The sequence below is a fragment of the Homo sapiens genome, chromosome 7, assembly GCF_000001405.40.
Source record: "Homo sapiens chromosome 7, GRCh38.p14 Primary Assembly".
NCBI classification, from domain to species: Eukaryota; Metazoa; Chordata; class Mammalia; order Primates; family Hominidae; genus Homo; species Homo sapiens.
In genome coordinates this window covers 145,414,480-145,438,147 of record NC_000007.14, presented here as the reverse complement: position 1 = coordinate 145,438,147, position 23,668 = coordinate 145,414,480, and the positions used below count along the sequence as shown (strand labels likewise).

The following is a 23,668-nucleotide window of genomic DNA, read 5'->3' as shown; positions in this document are numbered from 1 at the left end:
AGACTACACATAAAAAAAATTTTTAATGTTTATTGATTTGGACTTATTAGCATTAGTTAATATACCACATACTATTAGCATCCCAAATGTGCAAAAGGGATTATTGAAACACTTTTACATGACCTCAGTGGATTGTGAAAAAGATGTACAAACTAATAAAAATTACGTGCTTTTTTTCCATTTAGAAGCTGAGAATTCTGAGTCTTAAAGATATTCCATAAACTTCTTCAAAATCACACGCTAGGAAATGTCAGGAGCAGGAACTAAAATGAAGTTACTTTAATTTTCAGCAAAGACCTTTTCTCTCACATTTTATTGATTTTCTGAAAGGCTGCTGGGATTGGTAGCTCATTAGTCTTTATTTAAAATGGCCTCAGTGTGCTATGATTTTAGAGGACTTGCACGTTTTCCCATAATATTCCCGTTTCTCTCATGGGTGGCAAGTTGTCGTTTACTTTTCATATTTTTGTCACTGTGTCTCTTTATAGTAGTTCCTCATCATCCCTCCTTTTAAGTTTCTGCTACCAATTTGCTGTTAGCTTGAAATCCAATCATTAAATGTTTAAAATAAGAATTTGCTGGCTATGAGAGATCATTCAAAAGTAAAGTATATGAGCTTGCATTTTATAAAAGTTATTTGTTTGTTCTCTGTCTTTTTTTCTGACTGTAAAATTAGCATATGTTCATTATTTTTAAAATTATAAAATGTACATGAGTTTAAATATGCAGAATACATGAACCTTAATCTCAGCTGCCAGAAATAATTCCACATTTTAGTATGCTTTATATTATATACATTTTAATATTATTACTATTAGAATGATTATCATTATTATTAATATTATTTTTAATGCCACAGCTTGTATCCTGCTTTTTTTCACTTATCATTTAAATTGGAATATTTTTCCCTGTCAATAAATTATTTTCAAAGACAACTTTTATTTCTGCATAAACTTCCTAATGTGACTATGTCATGGTTTGTTGAACATTTTCTGTTTGTTTCACATAATGTTGGTATTTTATTTCCATTTTGATCTATAATTCTATGAAAAGCATCTTATTCCAATGAAAACTTCAACATGGGTTTGTAGTTGTGAATTCAAATTCTAAGATTATAAAAAATTTAGGTTCTAGATACGTGCAGCCAAATTCTTTTTTCAGCAGTTATATAAATGTATGCTCTCACCAAAATTAAGTGAACTTAAATTACTTTAATAACATCCCAGAGGTCTGGTGATGTCTTGTCTTGCTCACTACAGGTTAATTGACTGTATTCTAAACATTTGAAGTTGTAAATAGAGGTCTCTAAAAAAGTGAGGCGTTACCATAACTAAAAATGCAAGGTTTTCATTATCCTTAAATTCAATTTATCTTTAATGTTTAGAAATGATATCACTGACTCACACACATCCACAAAAGGCCTTGTGCTCTGAGCGCCTTTACAGCATTTGGGGACTGGCTAACAGAGCCATTTGCATTATTTCCTACTGCCCTCTTTGGAACTATACATGATACAAAAACAGCTGTCTGATATTAAAATATAATCCGTAACTGTAACATAGTGTAAAGTTAATGTGTCCATTTTGTTAGTGAATCTGTTGGGGGAAAAAAGAGAACTATTATAAAACATAACCATTTTCAGGATATAAAATAAAAACCCTAAAAATGTTGGAAAACATGCACATTCCTCAAACTACATATTCGAATCTAATTACAACAAAAGCACATAAGTTGAGCTAGGAAGGCCCCCAAATACTTTATTAGAAAGTAAGTGGCAGGATAGCATTCCTTTCTTTATATTTCAGGCTACAGAGTGGACTTGAATGCAAGACCTTTCATTTGTAGTAAGCTGTGTTGTCACAGCAGGCATGGAACACTTCACCAGCTTTCATGCTGATCTTCTCTCTGTAGACCCAATGCTGTTCCACCTTCACTATATTTTACCCAACATCTCTCTGTCTTTTTTTTTTTTTTTTAACATCATTCCCAATGTTTTTATCTCTACTGGGGAAATTCCACGTCTACTTCCCATACTTCCTTTTTCAGAAAAACCAGCTTGACTTTGTCAAGTAATACAGTCACTGGTTCCCCTGAAGACTTATTACCTCTACCATACCACCCTACATAGGTTCATCACCTCCTATACAGTTTCTGTTTTTCTCTTACCTATTGGTCCTCATCTACATCCCTAAATGTCAATAGACTACCCAAGTGAGTCAGAAGACCATTACACATTATTAATCCTTTTTCTTCACACACATTAGTATGGGTACAGACTATTAGTATGGGTATGAAGAAAAAATAATATGTACGATTATATACATACAATTATGACATTTGTATATATTAAGCCCTATCTTTACATTCAAATTACTCCTATCACATACATAAATAATCAAGAGGGCCAGTATGACCTCAAGCTGGATATATTTATTTCCTTTTAGAGGATTCTTCCATCCAGGATAACACAGATTGAGCTTCATGTACAACAAAGCCTTATCCATAAGCCCTAGGCTCATCATTTTGTCTACCTAAACCACTCCATCCTGAATCCAGGACAGAAAGAACAAGAGCACTATCAGAACAAAACAACTGCTCCCTCTTAAGATCTATAAATGATAAGATGTGATCTGAAGCACATGCATGTTTTATGCTCCAGCATTCGTCTTTTCTTTCACTATAAGGCGATTCATTATTTCCCTTTATCTTTGCCTTCCTTGTGATCTTGAGCACACTCTCTTGCTTTCTATAACAGAAGTGCACAATTCCCTAGCCCTACAACATCACCATGGTTACAGTAAAGAATCTCAGGGTTTCTTACTCATTTTTGCTATTTCATAAATAAACATAATGATGGTAAGTTATAAAGCACTTCACTGTGGAGCATTATGAAGTAAGAAAGTCTAGAAGCTAATGTCTTTTACATACTTTCCTTGAGTAAAGACAGGGTGAGTAGTTGGTTGTGTGTGTGTGTGTGTGTGTGTGTGTGTGTGTGTTGTGCGCGTGCGCATTCGCTCACATGCACGTATTTGGAAAGACTCTATATTAAAAGGCTCAGACCTCATCAGCCACTCTTCCTAGCTTCACAGTAAGCATGGTGAGCACATGCTGATAATCAGACTAGCGTTCCAAGACAGCCTACAAAAAGATGCCTATTGCAATGACGTAAATAGCAAATGATGTGTGCAAATACTATTGCTTACCAGCAGATGTTACTGTTAGTGTGGTTCTTCTTCTGACACACTTATAAGGGTTGACTGCTTGGGGGCTTTTTGTTTATTTAAACTTTCCCAGAAAGAAGGAAAAAGAAAAGACTATGATATTTTGACAGTCTTTGCTTTTTTTCCCTTGACAAATGTGTGGTGACTTCCACTTTGATCCAAATACTTCTGTTTTTATTCTCAATCTCATCTCTAAAAATGATTACTGTATTTTGCTATTGGTCTTACACTGACTAATTTCTATACAGCATATTGATTTCTAATTTTGTTACCAGCAATCCATCACTCAACCTGTAGGACACTCATTTTTCTCTCTGAATTGAAGTTTTGTATTATCCACCTTGACCCTTTATTCTATGTAATGTTTTCTCCTTTCTATATACATTAGGTCTTAAGGTCTTTTTCCATCCCTAAGGACTTATCTTGTTTAAAAATGCATGGGTTTTTTTCATTACGTTTTTGTTGTTGTTAACGAGGTATTAAAATTGGTTACAAGGCCCACAAGGGGTTTGGTTTAGAAGCTTACTTTTTTTTTTTTTTTTTTTTGGGACGGAGTCTTGCTCTGTAGCCCAGGGTGGAGAGCAGTGGCATGATCTCAGCTCACTGCAACCTCCGCTTCCCGGGTTCAAGTGATTCTCTTGCCTCAGCCTCCTGAGTAGCTGGGACTACGGGCACCTGCCACCACGCTCTGCTAACTTTTGTGTTTTTAGTAGAGACGGGGTTTCACCATGTTGGCCAGGCTAGTCTCGAACACCTGACCCCCAGTGATCCACCTACTTCGGCCCCCCAAAGTGCTGGGATTACAGGCGCGAGCCACCACACTCAGCCTAGAAGCTTAATTTTGGAAGAAGCAGAAACGAGATGCTGAGTTCACCTTATATTGGATTAGTAGTATAAGGTGTGTATCTAGGATCCCCCCAAGCCATGAGTAAGTGAGAATCAGAGGTCCAGCTTCTGCTCTAATTCAGTTTCTCTTTGTAGAACGACAAACAGATCTGTGTTACCACTGTGACACCCATCTCTCTTGAATGAGAAGAGAAGGAGGAAGAGATAGATGCGCTCAGCCAAATACAGAAGCAGCAGCACAGATAGACAGCTACTATGGCCAGCACTTGTAAAATTCCTCACCCTTTACCACTTTTGTCTTTACCTAAAAAACGGAAACAGGATCTAATTGCATTCAGGCAAAAAGGAGGCTTTCCTCAGGGCATGGTGGGGAGGGAAAGGAGACAGAGGAGGACATTCACTTTTCAAGGAATACTTTGAAAGTCTCAGTTCTGCTGGTGTCAGCAGAGGCCTGCGGATCCCCTTGCCTCTCCCTCTCTCTCCTCTACAGGCCTTTCTGCACATTATTTCCACACTACTCTCCTAAAGCGGAGCTTTTATCATGTTACTCCCCTGCCCAGGAACCTGCAGTGGATGAGAATAACTGTCGTAATGCCTCACATTAGCATACAGTCTTTCCACTTACTAAGTGCTCTCACATATGTTATCTATTTCCTCCTACTAGCAATCTCAGTACTTATTAGATCAAGCCCAAACTCCTTATCCCAGCATAGTCTTAACACTTTCTTGACTAGCTAGCAGTCTTTCTCTCACTTCTCCCAAAATCAAGCTCTCAGCCCTCTCTTTCTCCCACGCAGGCTGCAGTTATTTTCACCCTCTAGAACTGCCTTTTGCACCCATCCTACCCCGATTTTTCTAACCCCTCCACAATCCTCCATCCCAACACTCCTGAAAATGCTTGCCTCTTTTTATTCTCCTGCTGAAAGCTGGGAGGAAATGTCAGCTTTCCAGGAAGAAGCATGTTTTCTGAGGACAGTCTCCAATAGAGCATCCACCCTTTCTGACCTCATTCCATGGAGTTTGTACATGGTACATCATACCGCTTCTTTCCATTCCTAGAGGGAAGATCCTTTGTAAGTGAAGGTGTGTTTGGCACCACATGCACTTGGCCTCCTGTCCTTCAGCTGCTTGTCATGTTATCCTTGCCTCCGTGTGCTTCTAGATTCAAATTAGGCAATGATTAGACATACAGTGAACTCTTCCTCAACCTTCCCACGCCTCTAAAATGTTTTTGTCAGGGTCCCACCATTACAGAATAGAACATGTCTGTTAACTCTACGAAAATTCTAAGTATTTTCTCAGTTTATTTCATATTAGCTTCATTTTCTTTGGGGAAAGACTTCAAAATTAGCAACACGGCATAATCTCTCCTTGTAGATGTGAAAGACTCTTGGTAGACTAAGTAACGCATACCTCCTTAACCTCTGTAATCGTCAATGTCTGTATAATAGTATCTAGTTTCTCTCTGGCAGCTGGATAGTAGGTCAGATGGAAGTCAAAGCCAAGACTGTTTCCTCTATGTAAGTTTAGCCACAGTATTCACTCAGAAATCTTTATGAAATGATCTATGGGCACACCTCATTTTATTGAGCTTAGTTTGATTGCACTTCACAGATACTGCGTATTTCACAAATTGAAGGTTTATGACAACCCTGCCTCCAGCAAGTCTAACAGTGTCATTTTTCCAACAGCCTGCATTTGTGTCAGGTCTGTGTATTACATGTTGGTTATTCTCACCATATTTTAAACTTTTCCATTAATATTATATCTGTTACGGTAATCTGTGACCAGTGATCTTTGATGTTACCATTGTAATTGCTTTGGGGTGCCCAAACTGCACCCATATAAAATAGCAAAATTAATGGATAAATGTTGTGTGGGTCTGACTGCTCCACTGATCAGTCATTCCCTCATCTCTCCTTCTCCTCAGGACTTCTTATTCTCTGAGATGCAACAATATTGAAATTAGGCCAACTAATAACCCTACAACAGCCTCTAAGTGCTCAAGTGAAAGGAAGAGTCACACTTCTCTCACTTTGAATCAAAAACTAGAAATGATTAAGCTTAGTGAGGAAAGTACCTTGAAAGCTGAGACAGACCAAAAACTAGGCCTTTTTTGCCTAACAGTGAAATAACCTTATTGCTGACATGGAGAAAGTTTTAATGGTCTGGATAGAAGATCAAATCAGCCAAATCGTTCCCTTAATCCAAAGGCTAATAATCCACAGAAAGCCCCTCTTTTCAATTCTATGAAGGCTGACAGAGCTGAGAAAGCTGCAGAGGAAAAGTCTGAAGCTAGTAGAAGTCGATTCATAAGATTTAAGGTAAGAAGCCATCTCTGTAACATAAAAGTGCAAGGTAAAGCATCAAGTGCTGGTGAAGAAGCTGCAGCAAGTTATCCAGAATATCTAGTAAGATCACTGATAAAGGTGGCTACATGAAACAACAGATTTCAATGTAGACAAAACAGCCTTCTATTTAAAAAATAATGCCATCTAGGACTTTCATAGCTAGAGAAGAGAAGTCAATGCCTGGCTTCGAATCGTCAAAGACAAGCAGACTCTCATTAGGGCATAATGCAGCTGGTGACTTTAAGTTGAAGACCCAGTGCTCATTTACCATTCTGAAAATTCTCGTGACCTTAAGATTCATGGTCAATCTACTCTGCCTATGCTCTATAATTGGATCAAATATTTTAAGCCCACTGTTGAGACCTCATGCTCAAAAAGAAGATTCCTTTTGAAATATTACTGCTTATTGACAAGACACCTATTCACCCAAGAGCTCTGATGGAGATGTACAAGAATATTAATGTTGTTTTCATGCCTGTTAACACAACATCTATTCCACAGCACACAGACCAAGGAGTAATTGTGATTTTCATATCTTATTATTTAAGAAATACATTGATAAGGCTATAGCTCCATCAACAGCGATTCGTCTGATGGATCCGGGCAAAGTAAATTGAAAACTTCTGGGAAGGATAAATCTTTCTAGATTCCATTAGGAACATTTGTGATTAATGGGAGGAGGTCAGAATATCAACATTAATAGGAGGTTGAAAGAAGTTGATTCCAATCCTCATTAATGACAAGAATTAGAAGTGGAGTCTGAAGGTATGACTGAATGCCACAATCTCATGATCAAACTTTCACAGTGAGGAGTTGCTTCTTATGGATGAGCAAAGAAAGTGGTTTATTGAGATGGAATCTACTTTTGATGAAGATGCTATGAACATTGTTGAAATGACAACAAAAGATTTAGAATATTACATAAATCTAATTAATAAAGCAGCAGCAGGGTTTAAGAGGATTGACCCCAATTTTGAAATAAGTTCTACTATGAGTAAAATGCTATCAAACAGCATCACATACTACAGATAAATCTTTCACGAAATGAAGAGTCAATTTATGCAGCAAAGTTTATTGTTATCTTATTTGCCACAGTCACTCCAATCTGATTAGTGATCAGCTAGCCATCCATGTCAGGGCAAGACCATCCCTCCACCAGCCAAAACATTATGACTTGTTGAAGGTTCCGATTATTCTTTGCATTTACTAGCAACAAAGTATTTTAAAATTACTATATATACATATATATATATATTTAGAGGTAATGCTATTGCACACTTACTTACAGTATCTTGTAAACATAACTTTTATATGTACAGGGAAATAAAAAAATTGTGTGATTCACCTTATTGTGCTGTTTGTTTTGTTTATGGTGGCCTGGAACCAAACCCACAATATCTCTGAGATGCTGGTATATGTAGTAGGCTTGTGCTTTTTTCTGACTATTCAGATTGGGTATTAAATGTTCATAAAAATAGATGTTTAAGGATTCAAAGATAAAAATATTTGTCATCTGATATGGTTTGGCTGTGTCCCCACCCAAATTTCATTTTGAATTGTAGCTCGCATAATTCCTTGTTGTGGGATGGACCCAGCTGGAGATAACTGAATCATGGGGGCTGTTTCCCCCATACTGTTCTCGTGGCAGTGAATAAGTCTTATGAGATCTGATGATTTTATAAGGGGTTTCCCCTTTCACTTAGTTTTTCATTCTCTCGTCTGCTGCCATGTAAGATGTGCCTTTTGCCTTCTGCTATGATTGTGAGGCCTCCCAAGCCACATGGAACTGTGAGTCCATTAAATCTCTTTTTCTTTATAAATTACCCAGTCTCAGGTATGTCTTTAACAGCAGTGTGAGAACACACTAATACATTATCTCAGTTCCTCTATATGGAAATTTTTTTTCTATATCTTTACTCTCTCAGATTTTTTCCTCTTTCTTTCCTTCCCTCTATTTCTTTCTCCATTCCTCTCTTTTCCCTCTCTCCTCTTGCTGTTCTCCACATTCTTATCTCTTTCCTTTTCTTTCCTCCTTCCTTTTCTTTTTTACACTAAGGTATTGGTTTCAATAATTATTGTTCATCATAGAATCTGACCATAATTGAATCAGCTCCTAAGTCTGAATAGAAAAATACTGGAGTTAAATTATGTATGTTTTCACCAAGACCCCAAATTCACAAACAAACCTAAGCAGCAAAGGCAATTAATGGCAAATGGGAGGGTTCACAGTCCCTGACAGAGAGAGAGAGACCACCTGCCAATGTATGTGACTCCTCACTGCAGCCTTCTTTCTGCTTCCAGGCACTACTCTCTTTGTTGTGATTTTTGTCATTCCTACTCCATTGTTCCCTTTCACTTTACTGGCAGAACTATTTCCTGGTTTATCATTCAGTATCATACCTTTTCTTTCAACCTTGTATGACCAGAATATAGCAGAGGAAAAACAACAAACAATCATTACAAAAACTAAAATCTAGTCTAGTCTCAAACTAGACTTTTGTTTTCAGCAGTTTGTCTATGATGGATCCTGATGTGCATTTCTTAGGATTTATCTTATTTGAAGTTTGCTTGGCTCCTCAAATCTTTAAGTTTATGTCGTTTGAGAAACCATTACTTCATTGAGTATTTTTGCAGCCCTGCCCTTTTTCTCCTCTCCTTCTACACTCTGATGACATTTTTCATTTTCCCACAGGTCCCTGAAGATCCTTTCTTTCTTTTCTTTTCTTTTCTTCTTTTCTTTTCTTTCTTTTCTTTTCTTCTTTTTTGAGATAGAGTCTCGCTCTGTTGCCAGGCTGGAGTGCAGTGGTGTGATCTCGGCTCACTACAGCCTCCAAGTTCAAGCGATTCTCCTGCCTCAGCCTTCCAAGTAGCTGGGATTACAGGCACCTACCACCACGCCCGGCTAATTTTTGTATGTCTAGTAAAGACAGGGTTTCACCATGTTGGCCAGGATGGTCTTGATCTCCTGACCTCATTATCCACCCGCCTTGGCCTCCCAAAGTGCTGGGATTACAGGCGTGAGCCACTGCGCCCGACATTTTCTTTTCTTTTTTATTTTCAGTCACTTTCATGTGGTTGTTAGGATTAGGTAATTTCTACTCTCCTATTTTGATTTTGTCCCCTCCATTCTGCTTCTGAACCCATCCATTACATTTATGAAAATTTCAGTTATTCCATTTTTTCAGTAATAAAATTTTCATATGGTTATTTTTCATTTTTATTTTCTACTTTCTTTATCATGACTTTCTATTTTTATTTTTGCCAAGACTTGCTATTGTTTTCACTTGTTTCAAGAATATTCATAATTGCTCCTTGAAGCATCTTATAACTGCTGCTTTAACTTGTCGAATAATTTAAACATTACCGTCATCTCAGTGTTGGTGTCTATTGACTATCTTTTTCCATTCCAGCTGAGATATTCTTGGTTCTTGGTAGGATGGGTGATTTTAGACTGATGCCTGGATGTTTGGGCATAAATGTTCCTTATCCTCAGCTGTACCTACCTGGGGCTGGCCACAGTGTCTTCCCTGAGGTGGGATGAAGACTTCATCTCTGAAAGTTATTGAAACCCTGCTTGCCATGCCTTTCCCAGGCTGGGAATGCTGCACGTGAATTGCTTGGACAATGATACTCTTTCCTACACCCACTGTATAACCATAGCTCTATCATCTTAATCATCAGGGGCTTTATGCTATGAGAATCTTAAGCTGGTTTTAGCTGGCTTCTTCTGACACTTCTACTGAAGGAGGGAGTCATGCCATCTCCTTCCTTCTAGATGGGAACAGAAGTACAGGCTTCCACTTGGTTTCTGCTGATACACCCTTGGCTGGGAAGAGTAGGAATACTTCACATTACTGCCCTCACTTGGCGTCTACTGACACAAAGCGGACAGGGAAGAGAGGAGAAAGGGACAGAAGGAGATATGGCCTCCTTACAATTAGGCTGGGGTGGTAGTGAAAGTTCTGGTTCTCTTCTAGGCCTCCTCTGACACTAACTCAGAGGTCAAGAGAAGGGATGCCTCTCATTCTGCTGGATAAATTTTGGCAGCCTCAGAAAGGGTCCTGCTCATGGATGGATGAGGCAATTCTCTGACTCTAGTGGAACACAGGTTTCTAACTATTTGTAAATTTAATATAGCCTTTTTTTCTTTGTGAAGATTACTAACTCAAATTCATGCTGTACCCCAATTTAAAATATCTCCAACTCCTAAACATGCCATATTTTAAAATAAGTCCATGAGGATAAATGAAATGACCACAATATTTTAAAAGATAAATATAAAGTGAAAACAACTCATTTTTGTAAATCTCTTTGCTATCATAAATGTCAGTATCCAGAAATAGCATCAATGGGTCAGCATTTTTTCTCAGGAAAGACAATAACGGAGGCAGGAGAGATAAAAACAACTGTGACAATGGTATCCAGTGCAGTTGCTTTTTATTCTTTAAATTATCTATTCTTATTTAAAATTATTCCCGTTTATCATGAGTTCAAAATAATCTAGATGTTTAAAGGGTATGAAAATATTATTTCATCCCATTTGCTAAAATATAGAAGATGTATACTACATAGTATATACTCAAATTGCCACATCAAGTCATTAAGTAAGTAATCTAAGCACGAAACGGTATGTTTTGAAAGTGGTGACCTACTGAAAAACTAGTTAGGAGACCTGGCTGAGTTCTCTCTCTGAGAAATTCTAAGAAGAGTGGTGATATTGTTTATTGATCTGCAAATGAAGAGCATCAACTAAGATCGGCAATGCCCATGCCTGATAAAACTCTGATATTTTGTATATTGAAGTAAGGATAAAATGATTACATCAAAGCAAGTTGGGGGAGTACAGAGTCAGATATTGTTCTCAGATTAACAAAATGTTTGGGTGAGGGGACATCAGCTTCCTTCTTTTAAAAATTATTTTTATAATTGTATCAGTCAAGGTTCTTCAGAGAAACAAATAATTGGGGGTAGGGGGAGAGAGAGAGAGAAGTATTAAGATTTATTTTAGGCCGGGCGTGGTGGCTCACGCCTGTAATCCTAGCACTTTGGGAGGCCGAGGCGGGTGGATCACAAGGTCAGGATATCGAGACCATCCCAGCTAACATGGTGAAACCCCGTCTCTACTAAAAATATGAAAAATTAGCCAGGTGTGGTGGTGGGCGCCTGTAGTCCCAGCTACGCAGGAGGCTGAGGCAGGAGAATGGCATGAACCCGGGAGGCGGAGCTTGCAGTGAGCGAGATTGCGCCACTGCACTCCAGCCTGGGCGACAGAGCAAGACTCGGTCTCAAAAAAAAAAAAAAAAAAAAGATTTATTTTAAGGAATCATGTGATTGTGGTGGCTAGCAAATTCACATCCAAAATCTGTAGGGCAGGGTATTGGACTATAAACTCAGAAAGGATGACTATGTAACAGTTTTGAGACAGAAATACTTCCTCTCCTGGAAATTTCAGATTTGTCTTTTAAAGTTTTCAACTGAGTGGATAAGGCTCACCCATATTGTCAGGGGTAATCCCTTTTGCTTAAAGTCAACTGATTGTAATTGTTAATTACTTCTACAAAACATCTTCAGAGTAACATCTAGATTGGTGTTTGACCAAAGAACTGGGCAATATAGCCTGTGCCAAGTTGACACATAAAATTAACCATCACAATGGTGATGTATACTAATTATAGTACCTTCATTTGGCACCTAAGATGTCTTAGGAATTATTCTTGGCACTTTGAATAAGCAGTCTCATGTAACCCTCAACATAGCCTTATGAATTTTATATTTATATATTGCTATTTTCACTTGAGACAGGAGGAAATTAACTCTGAGGAAAAAAAACATTGCTCACAGTGCAAAGCTAATAAATGGTGCAGTAAGGATTAAAATTCAGGTTTACATGAAAACAATGTGTGCTGAAATTAATATTGGAAAAAAGTCTTAAAATTCAGATTCAGATATGTTCTCACTACCCAGCTTTTGAACTTGGGACATCTAACAGTCTTATTTTATTTATATCTGTAATTTAGAGGTTGAATTGGATGCTTCCTAAAAATAGTCTGTGATTCTATTTTCCAACTGTACATATTTTACCTGCCTTTCTTTTATAACACATTCTTGCCTTTTAGACATTCCATGGGAATTTGGGTTGGGCCATTCTCTTGAGCCATGTAATGAACATTTTGTGTTGGTTGATTATTCAATTACAATAAAGAAGTGACAATCCATTATAAAGAGTTATGAATCTACACATTGGAGGGGAATCCTGTGATTTTGTTTTGCCTATCAGCCTTTCCAACTGCACTTTTATTATAATGAAACAAAATACAACTTAATGGTTAGGGGACCACATAAACTGAAGCAAACGGTAAGGATGGCTGATGCCAGAGGGTGAATTTTGCCAAGATTCACTCAACACTCTTTTCTCTCCCTGGGTGTCTTGGCCTAATATCTACTTACCTCAGTAATAGAAAGCAAGTTTTTAACACCATTACCTCCTGCTGAACCAATGCAGTTATGAAAAAGCAAGCTGGATTCTTTTTGTCTCATACATCAACTACAACACTGTCAGCTGAGTTCCATTTGCAGAATCCTTATTACTGCTGATGATGTCAGAGAAAAGGAACATAGCTTGATTAATAGATTGCAGGTGGAATTTACAATACTGGCAACTAAAAATGATCTTTTGATTTATAAACTGAGAACATTCAATGTAAAAGTCACTGAGAGTGAATAAAGATGTTTAAAACCCACCAGATCACTTTAGGAAATCGATTTTCTATTTATAATTACAATTTAAATATCATTAAAAAGCTTCTTTCCTTTCCGTTTTGCATGCGGTTTTTGGTATTCTACAACCATTTGCCTTTCTGAGAGGAATCAGTGTAGGGAATCCTTCCACAAGAACCTATGCTTGCCTTTGTGACTTATTCCAAGACAATGGTGCATGTGTGCATGCATGCTCTATAGACACAAAAAGTCACATAGCACACATAAAGAAATATGAGCATCTGAAAGTTTATCTGCTATAATTTCACATATGATCCATGACAGTAATATTACTTGTAATTGGGATATTCATTTGCTCAGAATATGTTTAGAGGTCACAAACCAGCATCTGGCTTTTATCCTACTCCTTTTCTCTACTGCCCCTTTAACAAAAATATAGAATTTGACATTTCATTAGCTGACTTTAAATCTTTTTTTACGAGGCCTAAATAAAGCTGGATATTTTTGCTTGTTAAAAGGAGAGATATCTAATGTTAGATAGTGACCCGGTGAAAGGTAAAAAGTAGATCCCTTCTTGGAGTGAAGGTCTTTCATTCAGTTGCTTATGATTCTTATACCATTGAGGTTTAAATAGGCATCCTGGTGGAAAGGCACCTGACATGTTACTCTTAAATGCAGAAACGACACAGTGAATAAGACAGTTTTATTCTTTTAAAGAAGAAAAATCTCTGGGTATCTTATTATGAATATGTTATTTGTCTTAGTTTGTTTTGTATTGTTATAAAAGGATGCCTGAAACTGGGTAATTTGTAAAGAAACAAGGTTTATTTGACTCATGACTCTGATGTCTGGAAAAGTTCAAGATTATGCATCTGGTGAGGACCTCAGGCTTGTTGGTGGTGGAAGTTGAAAGGGAGTTAGCATGTGCAGAGATCACATGACAAGAGAGGACTCAAGAGGTGGTGGGGGTGGGGGGATGCCAGGCTCTTTTTAACAACCAGCTCTCTTGGGAACCATAGAGTTAGAACTCACTCACCCCCAAAGGAGGGCCTTAATATATTCACCGCCATGACCCAAACACCACCCATGAAGCCCCACCTCCAATCTTAGGGATCAAATTTCAACACAAGTTTTGAAGGGGACAAACATCCAAACCATAGCGTTATTGAAAGTGCAAAAAACATGCTGAGAGACAAATATCACTTAATTATTTCTGTAGAGTCTATTCTTTTTTCAAATTTATTTTAATTAACATATAAAACGATATATGTTTATCATATACAACGTTTTCAAGTGTAAGAAAAATACTGCACAATCTCACTCATTTGTAGAATCTAAAAAAGTTCATCTTATAGAATTAGATTATAGAATGGTGGCTACTAGAGCCTGGGGTGGTTGAGGGTCAGGGAGAGATATTGGTCAAAATACACATAATTACAGTTAGATAGGAAGAATACGTTCTAGAGGTTTATTGTGCAGCATGATGACTATAGTTAATGATGATATATTATTAAAAAATGCTAGGAGTGTGGATATTAAGTGTTCTAACCACAAAAGTTATAACTATGTGAGTCTGTTCTCTATTAAAATTTCTTACTTACTTTTCTACTGACAAATAAAATTCTATATATTTATCATGTACAACATGTTGTTTTGAAATATGTATACATGGTGGAATGGTTAAATCAAGTTAATTAACATATGCATTACTTCATATGCTCATCAATTTTTAGTGAGAGTCCATTCTTTTCTCACATTATTCTAATTTGACTTTATTGAGTCTGTAACAGCCCTCTCACTAGTCTTTTTGGAGTTAGAGATGGTGTGTCCATTCATTCTTCGTCTTTCAATCATTTGATATTTATTGGTGGAAATTCAGATGCATAACTTTACCTGTAATGGAGTATACTTCTGTATAGTCCCAGAGATATGCCACACATATTAGAAAGGGACGGCTTTAAGAAGAGATGGAGAAAGCAGGCCTCTCTACATTGGAGATAACTTAACGTTCATAATTTTCTATATTATTATGTAGCATCAATACATCAATATCCATGTTAACTTTAAAAATATAGTGGTATGTGCCCTTGGAATTACCCCAAACAAGCTCTTAATACTCCAAATCTATAGCTATAATCACTGAATACATCTGTTAGAGTTTGGATAATATTTTTACTGCAATTCTCTATGGTTATTCTACAATTAACATATAATAGTTTTTTTAAATTTATCTAAAAATTGCTTCTCTAAATATCCTTAATCTATAAACTAGTAGGAGGCATAGCAGGTATGCCTCTCAGTTAACAGACTTGGATGTAAACTAAATTTCAGGTTCTGTTCTATTATTTCAACTTAATTTTGAACCACTATTTCACCGGGTTAATATGACAATAATCTTAGTCTTTGGAGGAGAAAATATTTGTCCTGATATCTAATGTCTTAGGTTTTGTCAGGGTCTGGAGTAGCATATATACTCTCAAGGCACAAAGGGATAGGAGGCCAGCAGGTCAAGTTATCCATCCTAAAGCCAACATGAACATAAACCACCACCTAAACATGGCTTCGAGTCCAGCACCTTTTCATGCTGCATCCTATACACCATGCTGGGCATGGGAACATAGCTGAAATACTCTTCAAAGTCATATTGGTCTTGTTAGTTCCTCAGTGGGCTGCTGGAAAGAATGTGTAGAAATAAACCAGCTCACTAAAAACCAGAGGATGATACTAGTAAACCAACACACACACACACGCACACACACACACACACAGAGCTCTCAGCTGTGGCGTTTTTCAATTTCTGTGGTGTAAATACTCCCACCATAGTCCATAGCCATTTTCAAGCTTCCAATATAAAGTCATTGAACCCACAAATGTGCAAATTTAGCTCATGAGAGTTGATTTAAGCTGGATCCAGCATACCACTGTGTCTGTCCACTCCGTTTCCTATTTTCATCACTTTCTCTTTACTGCGTCTGTTTCCAACTATATTAGAGAGGAGACTAAGGGAAGGTGGGGAAGGGACTTCGTTTTTTCTAGCCAATTTTTCCACCTCGTGTTTCTAAAACAATTTTTCTCTGCCCCAATTCCAAATACCATTTCTTCTTGGGGCTTAGGCTTTTGGAACAAAAGACAATAATATTTGCAGAATATTTCTAATTTCCATGTTACTGAATTCCTTTCCCTAGTCCAGGAGCAAATGGTTAACCAACTGCTTGAATGAAGGAGTGTAGATTGAGGGAGGAGAAATACTTAATTTTTCAGCAATCCCATCACAAAGTTTTAAGATAACAGGCTTCACTGCTTTCAGCAAATAATCCAGCGTGCCTTATTTTTTCAGATAGATATTATTTTTTAGAGCAGTTTTAAGTTCACAGCAAAATTGAAAGGAAGGTACAGAGATATTCCGCATACACCCTGCCCCCACAAAGGCACAACTTACTCCTCTATCAGCATCTTGCACCAGAGTGGTCCATTTGTTACAATTGGTGAACCTTCATTGACATATCATTATCACTTCTGTTAGTCTGTTTTGTGTTGCTGTAAATGAAAACCTGAGGCTAGGTAATTTATGAAGAAAAGTTGACTGTGGCTTACGGTTCTGCAGGCTGTGCAAGAAGCACAGAGTCAGCTTCTGCTTTTAGTGAGGGCTTCGGGAAGCTTACAATCGTGATGGAAGGTGAAGAGGGAGCAGGCCTGTCACATGACAAGAAAGTGAGCAAGAGAGCGGCCAGGCTCTTTTAAACAACCAGCTCTCACATGAATAAATAGAGAACTCACTCATTACCTCAGGGATGGCACCAAGCCCTTCATGAGGGATTCACCCCATGATGCACCCCACCTCCAGCATTGGGGATCATATTTCAACACGAGATTTGGAGGGGACAAAACTCCAAACTGTATCATCACTCAAACCCATGGTTTACATTTGGATTCACTCTTGGTGTATATTTTAGGGATTTTGACAAATATATAATGACGTGTCTGTTATTGTAGTATCTTGCAAAATAATTTCACTGCCCTAAAAATCCCCTCACTCCACCTATCCATCCTTTCCCTAGCAGCCAGTGATCGTTTTACTCCCTACATAATTTGATCTTCTCCAGAATGTGATACAGCTGGAATCCTACATTATGGAGCCTTTTCTAATTGGCTTCTTTCACCTAGTAATATGCATTTGTTTCTTCCATGTCTTTTTATTTCTTTTTAATCCTGAATAGTAGTCCTTTGTTAAGATGTACCACAGTTTAGTTATTCATTCATCTGCTGAAGGACATCTTGGTTGCTTCCGAGTTTGGGCAATTATAAATAAAGCTGCTATAAACATTAACATGCAGATTTTGTATAAAAATAAGTTTTTAATTCATTTGAGTAAATATGAAGGAGACTGATTGGTTGGTTGTATAGCAACAGTGTGTTTAGTTTTGTAAGAAACTGCCAAATTGTCTTCCAAAGTGGCTGTACCATTTTGCATTTCCACCAGCAATGAATGAGTTCTTGTTGCTTTAGATCCTTGTGAACTCTTGGTGTTGTCAATGTTTTGGATTTTGCGCATTCTAAGAGGTGTATAATTGTTGCTTTAATTTGCATTTCCCTAACAACATATGATATTGACCATCCTTTCATATGCTTATATGCCTTCTGGACATCTTCTTTGGTGAAGGCTCTACTCAGGTATTTTGCCTATTTTTAAATATATTTTATTGCTGAGTTTTAAGAGCTCTTTATATATTTGGGATAATAGTCCTTTATCAGATAAGCCTTTTGCAAATATTTTCTCCAAAGCTGTGACTTGTCTTCTCTTTCTCTTGATAGTATCTTTTGCAGAGCAGAAGTACTTATTTTAAATGAAACCATCTAAATTATGTATTTTATGGATTAGATCTTTGGTGTTGAATCTAAAAACACCATCACTATACCCAAGTAATCTAGATTGTTGTTCTATGCTATCTTCTAGGAGTTTTGTAGCTTTTTGTTTTATATTTAGATTTATGATCCATTTTGAGTTAATTTTTGTGAAGCTATAGGATCTGTGTATAGATTTTTTTTAATTTTTATTTTGGGATGTGGATGTCCAGTTGTTTTAGCACCACTTGTTGAAAAGATTCTATTTTTTCCATTATATTGTCTTTTCTTCGTTGTCAAAGATTATTTGATTGTATTTATATGAGTCTATTCTGGCCTCTCTAGTCTGTTCTGTTAGTCTGTCTATTCTGTCAGCCAGAGTGCCTTATTTATAATCTCTATTTTCCTCTTTACACATTGGGACCTTAACCCTGAATGTGTTGTCCTGTAATTATGTCTGCATTGTAAATTGGTTCATCAATTGTCAATTCTAACTAAATACACTTTTGCCTTCCATGAGTCCTTAGAAAAAGTCCTTAGTGTGAGACATCTTCCTAATATTGTAATTCAGCAGTAAAATTTACCAGGAATTGGTAAGTCTCACTAACGCTGTGGTGATGATTTTCTCCTTTTATTGTTTCCATCAGAACCCAGGTCCACCTAGCTGCTGTGGTCTTCTCACTCCACGTTGCCATCTGCAGTGATCATGGCAGTATAAGAATCTTGCTGATTATTATGGTGGAGATTTTTGTTCTCCCTTGGAAAGTTCTGTGCATCTATTAACTCTTCCTTTTCATAATTTAAGAATAGTACTAAATTTAATCTGGAGAACCAGGTGCAAATTCAAGTTTTGCATATATATATGTGTATACATATATAAATACACACACACACACATATATACATATATATACACATATACATACATATATATATATACACACATATATTTCAGTAACCTAGAAAATGTATCTAGCCTTTCTTTTATCTATTTTTATATCTTGTTTAACAAGCAATGGCATTTTCTTGCCTTGTTTTGATTTGTTCGAAAGATTTTGCGAGGGCAGCCAAGATGGCCGAATAGGAACAGCTCCGGTCTACAGCTCCCAGCGTGAGCAACACAGAAGACAGGTGATTTCTGCATTTCCATCTGAGGTACCGGGTTCATCTCACTAGGGAATCCCAGACAGTGGGTGCAGGACAGTGGGTGCAGCGCACCGTGTGCCAGTCGAAGCAGGGCGAGGCCTTCCCTCACTCGGGAAGTGCAAGGGGTCAGGGAGTTCCCTTTCCTAGTCAAAGAAAGGGGTGACAGATGGCACCTGGAAAATCGGGTCACTCCCACCCTAATACTGCACTTTTCTGATGGGCTTAAAAAACGGCACCCAGGAGATTATATCTTGCACCTGGCTCAGAGGGTCCTACGCCCATGGAGTCTCACTGATTGCTAGCACAGCAGTGTGAGATCAAACTGCAAGGCGGCAGCGAGGCTGGGGGATGGGCGCCCGCAATTGCTCAGGCTTGCTTAGGTAAACAAAGCAGCCGGGAAGCTCCAACTGGGTGGAGCCCACCACAGCTCAAGGAGGCCTGCCTGCCTCTGTAGGCTCCCCCTTTGGGGGCAGGGCACAGACAAACAAAAAGACAGCAGTAACCTCTGCAGACTTAAATGTCCCTGTCTGACAGCTTTGAAGAGAGCAGTGGTTCTCCCACCATGCAGCTGGAGATCTGAGAACGGGCAGACTGCCTCCTCAAGTGGGTCACTGACCCCTGACCCCCAAGCAGCCTAACTGGGAGGCATCCCCCAGTAGGCGCAGACTGATACCTCACGTGGCCAGGTACTCCTCTGAGACAAAACTTCCAGAGGAACGATCAGACAGCAGCATTCGCGGTTCACGAAAATCCGCTGTTCTGCAGCCACCGCTGCTGATACCCAGGCAAACAGAGTCTGGAGTGGTCCTCTAGCAAACTCCAACAGACCTGCAGCCGAAGGTCCTGTCTGTTAGAAGGAAAACTAACAAACAGAAAGGACATCCACACCAAAAACCCACTGGTACATCACCATCATCAAAGACCAAAAGTAGATAAAACCACAAAGATGGGGAAAAAACAGAGCAGAAAAACTGGAAACTCTAAAAAGCAGAGTGCCTCTCCTCCTCCAAAGGAACGCAGTTCCTCACCAGCAATGGAAGAAAGCTGGACGGAGAATGACTTTGATGAGTTGAGAGAAGAAGGCTTCAGATGATCAAACTACTCCGAGCTACAGGAGGAAATTCAAACCAAAGGCAAAGAAGTTAAAAACTTTGAAAAAAATTTAGACGAATGTATAACTGGAATAACCAATACAGAGAAGTCCTTAGAGGAACTGATGAAGCTGAAAGCCGAGGCTCGAGAACTACGTGAGGAATGCAGAAGCCTCAGGAGCTGATGCAATCAACTAGAAGAAAGGGTATCAGTGATGGAAGATGAAATGAATGAAATGAAGCGAAAAGGGAAGTTGAGAGAAAAAGAATAAAAAGAAACAAACAAAGCCTCCAAGAAATATGGGACTATGTGAAAAGACCAAATCTACGTCTGATTGGTGTACCTGAAAGTGACAAGGAGAATGGAACCAAGTTGGAAAACACTCTGCAGGATATTATCCAGGAGAACTTCCCCAATCTAGCAAGGCAGGCCAACATTCAGATTCAGGGAATACAGAGAATGCCACAAAGATACTCCTCGAGAAGAGCAACTCCAAGACACATCATTGTCAGATTCACCAAAGTTGAAATGAAGGAAAAAATGTTAAGGGCAGCCAGAGATAAAGGTCGGGTTACCCACAAAGGGAAGCCCATCAGACTAACAGCGGATCTCTCGGCAGAAACTCTACAAGCCAGAAGAGAGTGGGGGCCAATATTCAACATTCTTAAAGAAAAGAATTTTCAACCCAGAATTCCATATCCAGCCAAACTACGCTTCATAAGTGAAGGAGAAATAAAATACTTTACAGACAAGCAAATGCTGAGAGATTTTGTCACAACCAGGCCTGCCCTAAAAGAGCTCCTGAAGGAAGCACTAAACATGGAAAGGAACAACCGGTACCAGGCGCTGCAAAATCATGCCAAAATGTAAAGACCATCGAGACTACGAAGAGACTGCATCAAACTAACGAGCAAAATAACCAGCTAACATCATAATAACAGGATCAAATTCACAAATAACAATACTAACTTTAAATGTAAATGGACTAAATGCTCCAATTAAAAGACACAGACTGGCATACTGGATAAAGAGTCAAGACCCATCAGTGTGCTGTATTTCAGGAAACCCATCTCACGTGCAGAGACACACATAGGCTCAAAATAAAAGGATGGACGAAGATCTACCAAGCAAATGGAAAACAAAAAAAGGCAGGGGTTGCAATCCTAGTCTCTGATAAAACAGACTTTAAACCAACAAAGATCAAAAGAGACAAAGAAGGCCATTACATAATGGTAAAGGGATCAATTCAACAAGAAGAACTAACTATCCTAAATATATATGCACCCAATACCTGAGCACCCAGATTCATAAAGCAAGTCCTGAGTGACCTACAAAGAGACTTAGACTCCCACACAATAATAATGGGAGACTTTAAGACCCCACTGTCAACATTAGACAGATCAACGAGACAGAAAGTTAACAAGGATATCCAGGAATTGAACTCAGCTCTGCACCAAGCAGACCTAATAGACATCTACAGAACTCTCCACCCCAAATCAACAGAATATACATTTTTTTCAGCACCACACCACACCTATTCCAAAATTGGCCACATAGTTGGAAGTAAAGCTCTCCTTAGCAAATGTAAAAGAACAGAAATTATAACAAACTGTCTCTCAGACCACAGTGCAATCAAACTAGAACTTGGGATTAAGAAATCACTCAAAACCGCTCAACTACATGGAAACTGAACAATCTGCTCCTGAATGGGTACATAATGAAATGAAGAAATAAAGATGTTCTTTGAAACCAACGAGAACAAAGACACAACATACCAGAATCTCTGGGACACATTCAAAGCAGTGTGTAAAGGGAAATTTATAGCACAAAATGCCCACAAGAGAAAGCAGGAAAGATCCAAAATTGACACCCTAACATCACAATTAAAAGAACTAGAAAAGCAAGAGCAAACACATTCAAAAGCTAGCAGAAGGCAAGAAATAACTAAAATCAGAGCAGAACTGAAGGAAATAGAGACACAAAAAACCCTTCAAAAGATTAATGAATTCAGGAGCTGGTTTTTTGAAAGGATCAACAAAATTGACAGACCACTAGCAAGACTAATAAAGAAAAAAAGAGAGAAGAATCAAATAGATGCAATAAAAAATGAAAAGGGGATATCACCACTGATCCCACAGAAATACAAACTACCATCAGAGAATACTACAAACACCTCTACACAAATAAACTAGAAAATCTAGAAAAAATGGATAAATTCCTCGACATATACACCCTCCCAAGACTAAACCAGGAAGAAGTTGAATCTCTGAGTAGACCAATAACAGGCTCTGAAATTGTGGCAATAATCAATAGCTTACCAACCAAAAAGAGTCCAGGACCAGATGGATTCATAGCCGAATTCTACCAGAGGTACAAGGAGGAACTGGTACCATTCCTTCTGAAACTATTCCAATCAATAGAAAAAGAGAGAATCCTCCCTAACTCATTTTATGAGGACAGCATCATCCTGATACCAAAGCTGGGCAGAGACACAACCAAAAAAGAGAATTTTAGACCAATATCCTTGATGAACATTGATGCAAAAATCCTCAATAAAATACTGGCAAACTGAATCCAGCAGCACATCAAAAAGCTTATCCACCATGATCAAGTGGGCTTCATCCCTGGGATGCAAGGCTAGTTCAGTATACACAAATCAATAAATGTAATCCAGCATATAAACAGAACCAAAGACAAAAACCACATGATTATCTCAATAGATGCAGAAAAGGCCTTTGATAAAATTCAACAACCCTTCATGCTAAAAACTCTCAATAAATTAGGTATTGATGGGACGTATCACAAAATAATAAGAGCTATCTATGACAAACCCACAGCCAATATCATACTGAATGGGCAAACACTGAAAGCATTCCCTTTGAAAACTGGCACAAGAGAGGGATGCCCTCTCGCACCACTCCTATTCAACATAGTGTAGGAAGTTCTAGCCAGGGCAATTCAGCAGGACAAGGAAATAAAGGATATTCGATTAGGAAAAGGGGAAGTCAAATTGTCCCTGTTTGCAGATGACATGATTGTATATCTAGAAAACCCCATTGTCTCAGCCCAAAATCTCCTTAAGCTGATAAGCATCTTCAGCAAAGTCTCAGGATATGAAATCAATGTGCAAAAATCACAAGCATTCTTATACACCAATAACAGACAGAGAGCCAAATCAACAATGAACTCCTATTCACAATTGTTTCAAAGAAAATAAAATACCTAGGAATCCAACTTACAAGGGACCTGAAGTACCTCTTCAAGGAGAACTACAAACCACTGCTCAAGGAAATAAAAGAGGATACAAACAAATGGATTAACATTCCATGCTCATGGGTAGGAAGAATCAATATCGTGAAAATAGCCATACTGCCCAAGGTAATTTATAGATTCAATGCCATCCCCGTCAAGCTACCAATGACTTTCTTCACAGAATTGGGAAAAACTACTTTA

At 38.2% G+C, this 23,668-nt stretch overlaps 1 annotated feature.

The window, feature by feature from the left end:
• Positions 18,923 to 20,122: an enhancer, noted in NCBI's record as "BRD4-independent group 4 enhancer chr7:145115119-145116318 (GRCh37/hg19 assembly coordinates)". NCBI's record gives its function as "activates an origin of replication core promoter dependent on BRD2, P300/CBP, MED14 and CDK7 cofactors, and independent of BRD4, by STARR-seq in HCT116 cells {active_cell/tissue: HCT116}" and the evidence as "EXISTENCE:reporter gene assay evidence [ECO:0000049][PMID:35650434]".